The sequence below is a fragment of the Homo sapiens genome, chromosome 16, assembly GCF_000001405.40.
Source record: "Homo sapiens chromosome 16, GRCh38.p14 Primary Assembly".
Classification (NCBI taxonomy): domain Eukaryota; kingdom Metazoa; phylum Chordata; class Mammalia; order Primates; family Hominidae; genus Homo; species Homo sapiens.
In genome coordinates this window covers 8599305-8616178 of record NC_000016.10, presented here as the reverse complement: position 1 = coordinate 8616178, position 16874 = coordinate 8599305, and positions in this window count along the sequence as shown.

Below are 16874 nucleotides of genomic sequence, written 5' to 3'. Positions count from 1 at the left end.
AATCCTAGCACTGATTGTAGAATCCCAGCAGACCGCAATCCTCAGCCTCAACTACACAGAGCAACCAGAGTGTGAGATGAGGGGTGGGGAGGCTAATGTACCTTTGTCCCCAGGGAAGGATTAGCCACTTTTGAACTTGTCACTGTCTGACGGCCTTTGGGTCTTTCATTTGATTTCTGTTTCTATTTTATTTATTTATTTATCCTATTTTATTTAAACTACATCTTGGCCAGGTGCAGTGGCTCACTCCTGCAATCCCAGCACTTTGGAAGGCCAAGGTGGGAGGATCTCTTGAGGCCAGGAGTTTGAGACCAGCCTGGGCAATATAGTGAGATCCTTTCTCTACAAAAATTAAAAAATTAGCTGGGTGTGGTGGCATGTACCTGTAGTCCCAGCTACTGGGGAGGGTGAAATGGGAGGATCACTTGAGCCTGGGAGATAAATGCCACAGCGAGCTGCAATTATGCCACTGCACTCCAGCCTGGGTGACAGAGTAAGACCCTGTCTAAAAAATAAATAAATAAACTACATCTGTTTCCTTCAAGTTAGTGGGCGTGTTTTTTGTTTGTTTGTTTGTTTGTTTTGGTTAGATCCCATCACCCAGGCTGGAGTGCATGGCAAGATCACAGCGCACTGCAGCCTGGATCTCCTGGGCTCAAGTGATCCTCCCACCTCAGCTTCCCGAGTAGCTGGATTAAAGGCATGTGCCACTGAAATGACGTCTCACTAAGGCCAAGCTTGATCTCAAATTCCTGGGGTCAAGTGATCCTCCTGCCGTGGCCTCCCAAAGTGCTGGGGTTACAGGTCTGACCTACTTCTCCTGGCCAGTTGGTTTTTTTCTAGCTAGTAAGGGGGCAGTGGCTCTGGAATATGAACTCATGTCCTGGTCAGTAACTTCCAGATGAATGGAAGATACACTGGACAGCTAGCATATTTTCTCACTTTTTGTCCTCACAACTCTGTGAGTAAGATATTCTTGTTCCTATTTTATAGACGAGGTGCTGAGAGTAAGTTATGTGCCCAAGATCCCTTTTCCTTTTCTTTTCTTCCTTTGCCTTCTCTTTATTTCTTAAAACTTAAAAATAATAATAAACTTTATTTTTAGAGCAGTTTTAGGTTCACACCAAAACTGTGTGGAAAATACGGAGATTCCCTGTGCGTGGATCATATTCTCCCTGCCCCTGCCCTTAAGCTCCCTCATTAGCAACATCCTCCTTCCCTACCCCCTAGAGTGGTGCATGGGTTACAATCGGTGAACTTACATTGACACATCATCATTGTAGTAGTCTGTTCTCACACTGTGAATAAAGACATACCTGAGACTGGGTAGTTTATGAAGGAAAGAGGTTTAGTTGACTCAGTTCCACATGGCTGGGGAGGCCTCACGATCATGGTAGAAGGCAAATGAGGAGCAAAGTCACATCTCACATGGCAGCAGGAAAGAGAAATTGTGCAGGGAAACTCCCGTTTATAAAACCATCAGACCTCATGAGACTTATTCACTATCGCGAGAACAGTATGGGAGAAACTGCCCCCGTGATTCAATTATCTCCACCTGGCCCTGCCCTTGACACGTGGGGATTATTACAATTCGAGGTAAGAGTTGGTTGTGGACACAGCCAAAACATATCAATCATTTATCATCCAAGTCCATAGTTTACATTAGGGCTCACTCTTGGTATTGTACCTTCTGTAGGTTTGGACCAATGTGTAATGACATGTACCCACCATTAAAGTATCATAAAGAAGAGTTTCACTGCCTTACAAATCCTCTGCTCTGCCTGTTCATCCCTTCTTCCTCCCCATCTCCTGGCTACCACTGATCTTTTCACTGTCTCCATACCAGGATGTCCTAGAGTTGGAATCATCCTATACGTACCCTCTTCAGGCTGGCTTCTTTCACTTGGTAATATGAATTTAAAGTTTGTCCGTATCTTTTCATGGCTTGATAGCTCATTTCTTTTTAGCACTGAATAATTCTCCACTGTTGGATGTACTTCAGTTTTTATCCATTCACCTGCTGAAAAATATTTTGGTTGCTCCCAAATTCTGGCAATCATGAGTAAAGCTGCTATAAACATCTGTGTGCAGGTTTTTATGTGTACGTAAATTTTCACTTCATTTGGGTAAATATCAAGGAGTATAATTGCTGAATCATATAATAAGAGTATGTTTAGCTTTGTAAGAAACTCCCAAACCATCTCCCAAAGTGGCTGTACCATTTTACATTCCCACCAGCAATGGATGAGAATTCCTGTTTCTTCACATGCTTGCTAGCATTTGGGGTTGTCAGTATTCTGGATTTTGGCCATGCTAATAGGTGTATAGTGATATCCCATTGTTGTCTATAATTTGTAATTCCCTAACGACATTCTTTAATTTTTTTTTTTTTTTTGAAACAGGGTCTTGTGCTGTCACTCAGGCTGGAGTGCAGTGGTGCAATCACAGCTCACTGCAGCCTCAAACTCCAGGACTCAAGCAATCCTCTCACCTCTTTCTCCCAAATAGGTGGGACTACAGGTGCATGCCATCATGCCTGGCTAATTTTTTAAATTTTATTTTCAGTACAGTCAAGATCTCGCTATGTTGTCCAGGCTGGTCTCAAGCTCCTGGGTTCAAGTGACCCTCCCACATTGGCCTCCCAAAGTGCTGGGATTACAGGTGTGAGCCTCCATGCCTGGCCCCAAATGACAGTCTTAAAACATTTTTGTTGTGATATATAGCATTCATATAACACATCTATGCAACATATACAGTATATAAAGTATAACAAATAGTTATAAAGGAAACACCCATGTAATTACCAACAAGTTCAAGTTATAGATATTGCCAGAACCCCAGAAACTTCTGTTTATTTCCCCTTCACTCCCTTAGAAATACTCACCATCCTTTCTTCCGTGGTTCTCAGTAGTTTGCTTGTTTTTATAGTTTTACTGCCTAAGCATGCACCCTCACAATATAGTTTAGCTTTGCTTGCTTTGAACCTTAAATAGAATCACACTGTGTTGTATTCTTTTGTGTTTGATTTCTTGTTTACTCAATATTATAAGATGAATTGGGTGGACGTGGTGGCTCATACCTATAATCCCAGCACTTTGGGAGGCCGAGGCGAGCAGACCATGAGGTCAGGAGATCGAGACCATCCTGGCCAACATGGTGAAACCCTGTCTATACTAAAAATACAAAAATGAGCTGGGTGTGATGGTGCACGCCTGTAATCCCAGCTATCGGGAGGCTGAGGCAGGAGAATCGCTTGAACCTGGAAGGCGGAGGTTGCAGTGAGCCGAGATCATGCCACTGCACTCCAGCCTAGGTGACAGAGAGAGATTCCATCTCAAAAAAAAAAAATATATATATATATGATGATGTATATATATATGATGATGTATATATACACACACACATATATATACACATATATGATGATGTGTATATATATACACATATATATACATATATGATGATGTATATATATACACATATATATATGATGAAGTGTATATATATACACACACACATATATATATGATGAATCTATGCTTGGTCCCATATGGTTTGTTCATTTCATAGCAGTATATTTCAAGGAATGAATGTAATACGATGATTTATTCAAACCACTGAGATGGACATTGGGTTGATTCCATTTTAGCTATTTCATCTCTGTTCCTGCCACAGTATTAGGCTGGGTTGACCCCACATGGAGCAAAAATGCCACAGTTAATTTGCTCCAGCAAGTTCCACCCCTCTTTCAGGGGTATAGTAGCACACAGTGCAAGTAACATTCTAAACTCTATCCAGTCCTATCTGGGTGGAAATGACTCATATAATTATAAAACACTGAGGCATCTCAGATTATCCCACTAGGTCTCTTCTTTACTGAGAATGTCCAAACTAGCTCCAGAGAACATTTTGTGCTGAGTGTTAGTTCCTATTTCTTAGTGGCATCTTGAAATCTCCAGTGCAGGTGTGCAGGCATGGTCTTGACATTTAGTGACATGGGGCCATGATAGATGACTGTGAATCCATGATCATGAAGGGGTGGGTGACTGTGGTTCTGCTCATAGACAGGCTTTCTTGTTTGTTTCTGAGACTCCTCTGGGTGTCATAGCTGCATTGAGTAAAAACCTCCAAGAACATGTTGTGGTTTGAAATGCTGGACTTGCTGGATAGGGACTAGGCTGGAGGGTGAAGGGAAGAATGGAATCAGGTCAGGAGAGACCTTAGCCAGTTTAAGGGAGGCTGGGGTTGAGAATCTGGCCTCTGCATTTGAGCAGACCTGGATTCAACCCCATCTGTGAGACCTTGGGCAACCTCTCTGAGGGTCAGTTTCCTCATGAGTGAAATGGGACAGGCTTAGTCAATGCCTCCCTATCTGAAATGCCTTCCCTATCAGCACCATCCCCTGAGAACAAGAGTGGGGCTGCTGTTAGAGATTTAGAACACAGACTGCCCTTTTCATTGTGTTCCTGGCCTTTGTGATTTTTCCCTCCCCCCTCGCATTTTTCTCTTTTTCAGCTGATGATACACCACAAGCCTTCAGATCTAACAGATATGCTTTGATAAGATGGCTCACCATTAGTTCCTTTCATCTTGGGAACACTACGCAAACCAAATCTAATCAATACAGGACATTGAGGGCTCATGGAGGGTCCACATCTTCCAGAGCACTGCCTGGGGATGAGATTGCATCACCTGAGTGCTCACACCCGGCTAGATGTATCTGCCCCATACCCACCCAGTGATGCAGAACACAGTGTCCAAGGCCTGGACTCCCGCTGCATCCTTACATGCACCATCTCTAATTATCCTGGCTGCCCTGAGGGGGAGATAGCAAGACTGGCCCCATTTTGTAGATCAGGAAACTGAGGCTCAGAGATGCTAAGCCACTTACCTAACGGTCATTCAGCTCCTAGGGGGCTGGCCCAGGTAGGTCTGATTCTGAAATAAATGACATGAGTCTTCTAACTTTCTGAGGTTAGATAGTCTCGGTGCAAATCTTAGCCCTGCCCCTTATTACCTGTCTTAAGTCAGATTGCCCCAGAACTGACTGAAAATGGGAATTGATATGCAAATGATTTATTGAGGAAGGGCTCCCAGGAGAAACTGGAAGTGGAGTGAGGAAAGCAGACTAGGGAAGGGGAAGGGCAAGTTCAAGTGAGATTCCATCCTCAGTCTGATTCTGTGGGTTTCTGGAGCATAAATTACATTTTAGCATTTGTCCTGCCTTGAAGCAAGTGTGGTGGTTTCCTAGACCTGTCTTAAGAAATTACCACAACTGCGTGGCTTAGAACAACAGGAATTGGCTGGATGCGGTGGCTTACACCTCTAATCCCAGCAATTTGAGAGGCTGAGGCGGGTGGATCACCTGAGGTCAGGAGTTCAAGACCAGGTTTGCCAACATGGTGAAACCCCGTCTCTACTAAAAATACAAAAATTAGCCAGGTGTGGTGGCACATGCTTGTAATGCCAGCTACTTGGGAGGCTGAGGCAGGGGAATCGCTTGAACCCAGGAGATGGAGGTTGCAGTGAGCTGAGATTGCACCATTGCACTCCAGCCTGGGTGACAAAGTAAGACTCCATCTCAAAAAAAAAAAAAAAAAAAAAGGAAAGAAAAAAAAAGAAAGAAAAAATCAACAGGAATTTATTCTCTCACGGTTCTAGAGACCAGAAGTCTGAAATGAAGGTGTTGGCAGGGTCGGCTTCCTCTACAAGCTCTAGAGGAGGATCTGTTCCATGCCTTTCTTCCAGCTCCTGGTGGCCCTGCAATCCTGGGAGTCCCCTGGCTTGTAGACACATCTGTTCCACGTGTACCTCCATCATCATATGGCCTTCTGTTATCTTTTGTGTTGATGTCTTTTTCTGTTCTTATAAGGACAGTTGCCATTGGCTCATTGACCTAGATAATCTAGGGCTATCTCATCTCAATATCCTTAACTTAATTACATCTACAAAGACCGTTTTTCCAACTAAGGCCAGATGCACAGTTTCTGTGTGGACCTATTTTTATTTATTTATTTATTTATTTATTTATTTATTTATTTTTGTGAAATGGAGTCTTACACTGCTGCCTAGGCTGGAGTCCAATGGTGTTATCTCAGCTCACTGCAACCTCTGCCTTCCGGGTTCATGCAATTCTCCTGCCTCAGCCTCTCAAGTAGCTGGGATTACAGGCGCACGCCACCACACCCAGCTAATTTTTTGTATTTTTTGTAGAGATGGGGTTTTACCATGTTGGCCAGACAGGTGTTGAACTCCCCTCATGATCAGCCCACCTCGGCCTCCCAAAGTGCTGGGATTACAGGCATAAGCCACCATGCCCGGCCATGTGTGGACCTATTTTTTTGGAGGGCACCATTTAACCCACGAGAGCAAGGAAACTGGGCTTTCATACTCCTACTCTAGTCGGTGATTGGCTAAGGGGCACCATGGGAGGATGTGAACCCCCAGGCACTACCAGCTTTCTGCTAGTGTAGACAGAGTAATCCAGTACCTCCCGTCCCCTCAAGAAAGTCTATTAGAAGAAGTCAAGCTTATAGACCCTGTAGGTAGATGCAAAACATGGTAATAGGGAATCAAATGTATGTTTCCATTATCTAACGTTGAGTAAAAAACTACTCTAGGCTGGGTGCAGTGGCTCATGCCTATAATCCCAGCACTTTGGGAGGCCTAGGCAGGCAGATCATTTGAGGTTAGGAGTTCAAAACCAACCTGGCCAATATGGTGAAACCCTGACTCTACTAAAAATATAAAAATTAGCCAGGTGTGGTGGCGGTCACCTGTAATCTCAGCTACTTGGGAGGCTGAGGCACGAGAATCGCTTGAACCCGGGAGGCAGAGGTTGCAGTGAGCCAAGATTGCACCACTGCACTCCAGTCTATGCAAAAGAGCGAGACTCTGTCGCAAAAAAAAACAAACAAACAAGCAAACAAACAAACAAACAAAAAAACTACTCTAAAATGTACTGTCTTAATGCAACTGTTTTATTTTGCTTCTAGATCTGTGGGGCAGGAATTTAGGAAGGGTTTGGCTGGGCTGTTTCTCTCTGATGCACACGGTATAGGCCAGAATAGCTGGGGCTGCAGGATCCACTTCCGGGCTGGATTCTTCACTCATGTGTCTGTTATATCGATGGCTCCTGGTCTCTCTCTCCACATGGCTGGTCATGCTCCAGGCCATTTCCTGGAGGTGGTGTTCTCCTCACCACCTCTTGGCAGCAATCAGAAACTTGCCAGCCCTATGAAGGAGCCACCTTGGCAGCAAATCCTCCAGCCTCAGTCAAGCCTTCAAGTGATGGCAGCTCTGGCTGACATCTTGACTGCAACCTCATGAGACCACCCAAGACTGTCTTGAATTCTTGACCCACAGAAGACAATGGACCTTCCTTATCATTATGATTTTATGCCAGTAAGTTTTGGGGTAACGTATTATGCAGCAATAGGTAGCTGATCCAGGAGACAAGTGGCAGATGACAAAGAAACAGGCAGGTGGCCACAAAGATGGGCAAATATTGGCCACACTTTAGGTGCTTAAGAAATGCTTGTGATTGAATGAGTGATACATGCACCTACTCTTTGGGTTGGGCCATGAGCCCTTCTCTGTATCCCAAAGGTCATTGTCACAGTTCGGGCCACCTAGTTGCTCATGTGTATGTCTTCAGTCGCCACCTACCTGGCATTTCTGATCCCAAACTCACTCCTTATAGTGTCTAATCCATTCTGTCTCTCCCCATGGCCATGTGACTGAGTCCTCACACCTGGCTAGATGTATTTCTGTGTCTGTTTACATGGCCTGATTGGAAGCCCCTGAAACCAGCGATGGCTAATATGTGCTAAAAAATGTAATGATGCGTATCTGACATCAAATGGAAAGAAAAGCTGGAAAACCGAAGCCTTGAAAAAGAAAGGGTCCAGAAAGCCTCAGGAAATTTAGGACAAAAGCAGAGACCTTCTTCAAGGCATTGTCTCAGAAATGATTAAACCTTATGCCCCAAATACTTTCCATCATTAGATTTTCTGTTTATGATGCAAATTCCAGAGAGAAAGCATCCGGTCTACGTTGGCTGTAGGTGAGTGGGTCAACTTGATTGGCAGTCCCGCTAAGACTGTGCAGTGGGAAGGGATGGTTCCCTTAAGGAAAATTGGGGTACCATTACCTGAAGAAGGAAGAAAAGGTGCTGGGCAGCTCCAATGCTCAGATGCCCCCCACAGAGCCCCTGGTCACTCCTGGTGTGACTGCCACACTGGGCTGTTGGTTGCTTTCCAGAGACCATGCCCTCCCTCTGGATCTTTGCACCTGAAATGCTCTGCCTCCTGACTTGCCCACTGATGAATTTCTACACATCCTTCAAGCTCTCCATCCTTTGGACAGTTTTGTCCATTGCCTGAGCAGGCTGAATTAAGCGGACTCTGTTCTATGGGGGACCTGTGCTTGTTTCTATCAGCTCTCCGAGGAGGCTTGGTTTTCTTCCTCCTCATCTCTCCAGCCCCCAGGCAGCGGCTGGCCATGGTGCAAGCTTAAGGACTATTCCTGAAGGAGGGCCAAGTTGCCAGCTTCCCTTTTGTATGACTTTGGTTGTTATTCCTGTTCTTTGAGGGGAATTTTAGCCACAGGCAAAAAGGGCAGCTTGTACGAAAACAAAATTTTCGACTTTTTCTTTCTCATCTGGGAAAATGTGTGCAGACAGAGCAACGCTGCTGAGCTCTGTGGAGAAGAAGGCGAGAGAGCTGGCGTGGGCTGGGAGGGAGGGAGCCTGGGGGAGTTGGATGTGGGAGGCCAGGATGCCTGGGGGCACTCGGGGGCTGAAGGACCTGTAACGGGATATCCAGGGGAGGCAGCGTGATGTGGGCACAAAACCTGGGCTCTGGAGTCTTGGTTTCAAGTTCTGCCCCTTTCCCTAATGAGCTACATGACTTCGGACAAGTTATTAGCAATGGGAGCCTCAGTTTCCTTCATCTGTGAAATGAGGGTAAGAGTGCCCAGCTGACAGAGTTGTTTTAAGGATTAAATGAAACAGCTCAGCTTGGTACCAGTAGATAATAGTTCAATTAACGCATTTTCCTTTATTTTATTTTATTTAGAGATGGGGTCTTGCTCTGTCCCCCAGGCCGGAGTGCAGTGGCGCCACCATAGCTCACTGCAGCCTCAACCTCCTGGGCTCAAGCGATCCTCCCACCTCAGCCTCCCGGGTAGCTGGGATCATGGGCATGCATCACCGTGCCCGGCTAATTTCTTTTATTTTTTGTAGAGATGGGATCTTGCTGTGTTGGCCAGGCTGATCTAGGACTCCTGGACTCAAGTAATCCTCCCGCCTTGGCCTCCCAAAGTGCTGGGATTACAGGCGTGAGCCACCACGGCTGGTCACGTCTTCCTGTCTTCTGCTCTCCTTAAACAACAGTCCCTGAAGTGTTCATGTAGAACAAGAGTTATCAAACCACAGCCCATAGGCCAAATCCAGCCCCACTGCCTGCTTTTATTATTCTTTGTTTTCTTTTTTTGAGACAGGGTCTCGCTCTGTCACCCAGGCTGGAGTGCAGTGGTGCGATCATGGCTCACTGCAGCCTCAACCTCCTGGGCTCATGCAATCCATGGCCAATCAGATTCAAGTCCCATGGCCAATCAGATTCTTCTATGGGATTAGTCTCCAGATTTGGGGAGAGAGATGCTTTTGTTCTGTAGACTTCTTGGCCAGGAGGAAATAAGTCTGGGCCTTTGCCTGTCATGTGGTAAGAGCCTGAGAAACAGAAGCAAGCAGAGCTAATAGATTGGTAAAGATAGAGCCCTGATGATCTTCCAGCTCCTGGATACAGCCATGCCTGGAGCCAGCTGCACTTCTGCACTGCTAAACTATCCAGTTCCATGAGCTTTTTTGGCTTAAGACATTATGGGTTAGGTTTCTACAACTTGAAGCTGAATTCTTCCTAACACTGTATGATTTATTGAGCATTTGCCTTGTGCCAGAGATTGTACTTAGAATTTAATAAGCATGTCTGATTAGTCATGGGTGAGTTCTTTACCTCTTGGAGACTTCATTTTCTGGTATGTAAAATGGGGGTGATCTTATAAGAATAGGACTGTTGTGAGGTTCAAGTGAAGCCAAGAATACAGAGTTCCTGGCACATAGTTGGCCCACAATAAATGTTACAGCATTTTCTTTGATGGGGGAATTTTGTGATTGATATCTTTGTATGTACTTTTGGGTGCAATTGCCTCTTTTTTTTTCCCTTAGGATAAATTCCCAAAGTGGAATTGCAGAATCAAAGGGTATTTGTTTGTTTAGGTCCTTGACTCACTGGACCAAACCACTCTCCAGAATCATACCAGTTGTGTTAGTTACCTGTTGCTGTGGGTCAAATCACCATAAACTTTGTCACTTGAAACAATGCACATTAATTATCTCACTGTTTCTGTGGGTCAGGAGCATCTTGTCTGGGTCCTCTGCTTTTCCATCTTTTATGAGGCTGCAATCAAGTTGTCAGCTGGGACCAGTGTCTTATTTGAAAGCTCAACTGGGGAAGGAGCTTTCTGTACCTTTGGAATTTTCTGTACCTTTTGAATTCCAAGTCACTCATGTTGTTGCTGAATTAAGTTCCTCCAGAGCTGCTTACAGAGGGTCTCAGTTCCTTGCTGGCCAGACTCAGTTTCTAGCCATGTTGGCCTGTCCAACATGAAGTGAACAAGCTAAGAAGGCAAATAGACAGAGACCACTAGCAAGATGACAATTACAAGCCCATGTAACATAATCACAGAAATGAAATCCCATCAACTTTGCTGCATTCTACTCATAGAATCAAGTTACAGAACTCAACCACACATTCACAAAGAGGGGATGAATACCAGGATGAGCGATCACTTGGGGGTTACCACTTTTTTTTTTTTAATGAATTGTGCTCTTTGTGTCCTAGCTAAGAAATCCTTGCTAACTCAAGGTCACACAGATTTTCTCCTATTTTTCTTTTAGCTCTATAGCTTTTGCTTTTACATTTAGATCTGGCATCCATTTACGGTTAATTTTTCTATATGGTACAAGGTAAGAACAGAGGTTTATTTTTACTTTTTCAAGTGATATCCAATGGAATGACATAATTTTAGTCATAAAGCACAAAATGGAAAACTCTACATGTAGGATGGTGAAAATTGTAATAATCATATCTTACATGTGAGTACTTACTATCTAACAGGCTCCGGGTAGGTGTTTTACCTGCATTATTTTATTTACTTCTCACAATGACCCAAATGGAGGTGGAACTCATTAAATATCCTCTCAACACCATGCAACTCATAAAATTAGAAACCACTCTTGACTGACACGTAATGACCTGTGAGATGTTTTGTTATAACAAAGCAAAGCATAGACTATACTGTCACCTGTGTGGAGAGAAATGCATGCACAGACAGATACACACACACACACACACACACACACACACACACCTCTCCAAAGCTATATTTGTCTGCATAAAACAACTCTGGAAAGATACAAAGAAATTGCTAAATGTGGTTGCCTCTGATTAGCTGGGCTCAGGAGAGGGAAGGGGACTTTTCACAGTATGACATTCTGTACCTTTTGAATTTTAAAACACATGCATTTTACAACTTGTGTCAATATTACCATATAAGGAATATGTAAAATTAGAGAAAAATAGGAAGTGGTCTTCTTCCAAAGACCATACTCTTATCTACCATCCTGGCTTCCATTTCCATTCATACATATTTACATCTATCCATCCTTTTATAGTTTCATCTCTCTTTGCCTCTATATTTTCACCTGTTAACTGAGATAATAATAGTCCCTGCCTGGAAGGATGGCAGTGAGGATTGGGACCAAGCACATAAACACTTAAAACAGGGCCCTGCATTCAGAATAAGCTCAGTAGATGCTATTGTCATTATTTTACTCATAGAAAAAGCATTGTAAAAGAAATGCACCTGACATGTTAATAGAGTCTTTTCTGGTTGTGAGATCATAGGTGACTTTTATTTTCTTATTTTCCGCAAAGTTTAAAAAAGTTACATACTATTTTTATAATAAGTATGTTTGCTCCTTCCCAGCCTGGACGACCCCAGGAGTCTCCGCTTACAAGTTCTCTGGGGGATTCTATTCAGACTTTAAGTAATGGCTAAGGTTGGAAAAGGCCAGGCTAGTCTGGCCTGTGTCTAGACAGTTTATTTCCCTCTCCTGCTGTAGAAACAAGATGCTCCTTAATACTGGAAAATGTTTTTGAACAAAACCCCAGGCTCTGGGAGATCATAATATATCAGTGTGAGTTCATCAATTGCAACAGATGGTGGGGGATGCTGATAATGGGAGAGGCTATACAGGGATGGGAAGAAGGTACACAGGAAGTCTGGGTATCTTTTGCTCAGTTTTTCTCTGAAACTAAAGTTTTTCTAAAAAAACCGTTTATGTATTTATTTATTTTTGAGATGGGGTCACACTATGTTTCCCAGGCTGGTGGTAGGCTCAAGTGATCCTCCCGAGTAGCTGGGATTACGGAAGGCCATTATTTTAAGTGAAACAAAATTCAGAAACAGAACGCCAAACAGTGCCTGTTCTCACTTGTAAGTGGGAGCTAACTAATATGTACACATGGACATAGAGTGTGAAATGACAGACATTGGAGACTTGGAAGATTGGAGGCGGAAGGGGAGTGGGTGATGACAAATTGCTTAATGGATCCAATGTACATTACCCGGGTGATGAATGTACTAAAAGCCAAAACTTCACCACTAGGCAATACACGCCTGTAACAAAGTTGCACTTGGATCTCTTACATTTATACAAATAAAAAAAATTATTAAAAAACAAACAAGTGATGGGAGCTGTGGCTCACACCTGTAATCCCAGCACTGTGGGAGGCCGAAGTGGGCAGATCACCTGAGGTCAGGTGTTCGAGACCAGGCTGGCAAACATGGCGATACCCTGTCTCTACTAAAAAACAAAAATTAGCGGGGCATGGTGGTGGATGCCTGTAATCCCAGCTACTCAGGAGGCTGAGGCAGGATAGTTGCTTGAACCCAGAAGGCAGAGTTTGCAATGAGCTGAGATCACACCACTGCACTCCACCCTGGGCAACAGAGAAGGACTCCATCTCAAAAACAACCAACCAACCAACGACAACAACAACAAAACAACAAAAACAAAAACAAGGCCAGGCGAGAGAGCTCACGCCTGTAATCCTAGCAGTTTGGGAGGTCAAGGTGGAAGTACCGCTTGAGCCCAGGAGTTCAAGACCAGCCTGGGCAACATAGTGAGACCCTGTCTCTACAAAAGTATAAAAATTAGCCGGGTGTGGTGGTGTGCCTGTAGTCCCAGCTATTCAGGGGGCCTGAAATGGGAGGGTTGCTTGAGCCCCGGGGGCAGAAGTTGCAGTGAGCCAAGATTGCACCACTGCACTCCAGCCTGGGTAACAGAGTAAGACCTTGTCTCAAACATCAACAACAACAAAACAACAACAAAAAACCCTCTCCAGGGTCAGGGAGAAGAAAGAAAGCAGGTAGAGGAGGATGGCTAATGTGCTTGGATTAACAGGCATTAATAATGCCCAGTTTTCAGACAGGAGACTGATCTTCAAGAAAGGTCCCAAACATTAAAATGAATTCCGGAATGGAGATCACCAGCTGAACTGTTGAAGCCCTTACTGAAGCTACTATTTTTGCCTTGACATTATGGAATTACAGGGGAACCTGGCCTGGTGTGTTTTGGGGACGTCGCATGCATAGATGTCACTCTGGAGAGCCAGAGTGTGGCACTGCCACCCTGGAATGCCCTGTTTATCTTACAGAACTTGCCTCGGGTCCCTGTCTTCCTGGAAGCCTTCTTCTCTGGCCTGCTCTTGACTTCTGCATTGCCTTTTGTAGCACAGTGGAAACCAGACCCAACTCTCACAGCTCAGATAAACCTGGTTTCCAATCCCTGCTGCTTTTGTGACTTTGCATGCCACATTATCTCTCTAGGCCTCGGTTTCCTCATCTCTAGTGCAGGAGTGATCGAGAGTCCCTACCTTATTAGGGTTTGTGGAAGGCACAGTCATGGCCCACCAAAGATGTCCACATTTTAATCCCCCAAACCTGTGACTCTGTTACCTTACATGGCAATGTGACTTTAAGGTGGGATTGAGTTAAGGATCTTGAGGTGGGGAAATTATTCTGGACTAACTAGGTGGGCTTGGTGTGATCACAAGGTACCTTCTAAGAGGCAGGTAAGAGGGTCAGAAAGAGAAGATGGAAGGGTGGAAGCAGAGGTCAGCTTTGCAGATGAGGGAGGAGCCGCAAGCCAAGGAATGCAGGTGGCCTCTAAAAGCCAGAAATGGCAAGGAAATGATTTCTCCCCTGGAGCCTCCAGATGAAGCAGAGCCCTCCCCACACCTTCACTTTAGCCCAGGGAGACTGATTTCAGACTCCCAAGCTCTAGAATTCTAAGAATACATTTGTGTTGTTTTAAGCCACAAAATGTGTGATAATCTGACACAGCAGCCATGAGAAACTAATATAGGGTTGCTGTAAAGACGAAATCTCACAGGTTATGGGGGAAAGTCACTGGGATGAAGGCAGGAGTGGGGGCTATGTGAACACCCTGGCATGGGAAGCCCTTTTTTATTTCAGCACTCAGCAAATGGTGGTTATCATTAAATTGTATTATTTTGACTTATTTTTAGGACTACAGGTGTGACACATTGTTACATGTATTTCTTTCCTTTTCTGTTCTCTGCAGGACACTGTGAGCTCCCTGGAGGACGCAGAAGACCTTGTCCTATTCCTGTTGTATCCTTAGTGCCTGGCGTATAGTAGTTGCTCAATAAAGAAGTGCTTTAAATACATGGACAGATTTTTAGACGTTTATGTCTGACTTACGTAGGCCTGAACAAGAGGGAACAGGATGAGAGGAGCTCAGGAATGAAGGTGACGATGATGATGGTGCAATGACAATATTGGGGTTGACAACAGTGATAGTCATCACAACAGCACCACTTACTAGACGTGAATGCCTGCTATGTGTCAGACACTGGTTGCAGCCATCATCTTTCATGAACCCAACAATCCTGGGAGGCAGATATTGTTTCTATCAGAGGAGGTGTGGGGTCTACAGTCAGCATAATGGGCTCTGGAGGAAGGCCGTGGCTGGGCTGAACCAAGAAACCTTTCTTCTTGTCTTTGGTGAGGGCTTGAGTAACTGTTCTATTTCTTTTCTGGGTCTCACTTTTCTTCTCTGTAATATGATGGGCAGATGCTAAGGGTTCTCCCAGCTCTGTGGTTCTAGTGCTTGGCCCCTTCCTGGATCCCCACCAAGCAACAGTAGGGAGAAGGACAAAATCTGTCTCTCAAAGGCTGTCATTGCAGGCCTGGGCTGGGGGAGTGGGGTGCCAGTGGCCACAGCAGCAAGCAGTTTCAAGGCAACATGATTGAGGACACCTGGCTGACTCCTGTCCCCACACCCACCATCCCCTGTGATGTTCAGAATCTCTGTCAGTGAATTTCTAGCATAGCCTTTGTATGCCCTGGCCACGGAGGGCGTGCAGGGGTGGGCGGAGCTGGCTGGAGGCTGACGCTGGGCGTTGATGTGGCAATTCTGGCTTTAACAATCTGTAGAGATGCTGACTCCTGGCAAACTGCAAATGCTTTCAGCGTGGAGGAGATGGGTAGGCTGTCTGCTGTCTGTGGCACTGGACACAGAAGAAGGTGTCAGACCTAATCGTTCAGATTAATACCCGGGTAGCAACAACAGCCTTGAATTTGGAGCTAGGCCTGTGTTTAAATGCCAAGTCCATGCCTTATTAGCTGTGTGACCTTGCTGGGTCAAACTCTGAGCTGCCGTATGGCGTTTCGTAGGAGAGGGACTTGAGCTAATAGCTGGAGCTAATGTTTACTAGCTGTTTTTATGGGCTGCCTGAGACTCTGCTCAGGACTTGGCATGAGTGATTCCAAGTCATGTCCTTATAATCTCACAGTCAGGATTGTCTTTATGTCTTCTCTTCTTTCACTGTAGCCTTGACCTCCTAGGCTCAAGTGATCCTCCCACCTCAGCCTCTTAAGTAGCTGGGACCACAGGTGCTCACCACCACGTCCAGCTAATTTTTAAATTTTTTACTTGTAGAGAGGGGGTCTTACTATGTTGCCCTGGCTGGTCTCAAACTCCTGGGCTCTAGCCATCCTCCATGCCATGGCCTTCCAAGATCCTAGGATTATAGGTGTGAGCCACTATGCCCAGCCTGTCATATATTGTCTAATTTAATTTCGACGATAACTCTGTGAGTTTGGTATCGTTACTTTCATTCTTCTGAAGAGGAAAATGAAGTTCAGAGAACTAAAACTGTTGATCAGTGTCCCTTGGCAAATAAGGGGTGGAGGTGGCATTTGAAGTGAGGTTTCTTTGATACTTCAATTCTTTCCACTATATCTCTCACATTAAGCTATTGTCAGGCCATATGAGTTAATATTGACTGAGGCCAGGCCCCGTGGCTCATGCCTGTAATCCCAGCACTTTGGGAGGTCGAGGCGGGTGGACCCCTTGAGGCCAGGAATTGGAGACCAACCTGGCCAACATGGTGAAACCCTGTCTCTACCAAAAATACAAAAATTAGCTGGATGTGGTGTTGGGTGCCTGTAATCTCAGCTACTTGGGAGGCTGAGGCAGGAGAATCACTTGAACCGGGGAGGCAGAGTTTGCAGTGAGCCGAGATCACATCATTGCACTCCAGCTTGGGCGACAGAGCGAGACTCTGTCTCTAAATAAATAAATAAATATGGACTGAGTATCTCTTACATGTTAGTCTTGCTTTATGCTCTTTTACCGAAATGCATGAAACCAATCCCACATTCAAAGCATGGCTTTGAAGTTAGACAAGCTTGTGTTTGAATCCTGGATCCTGTACTTAATA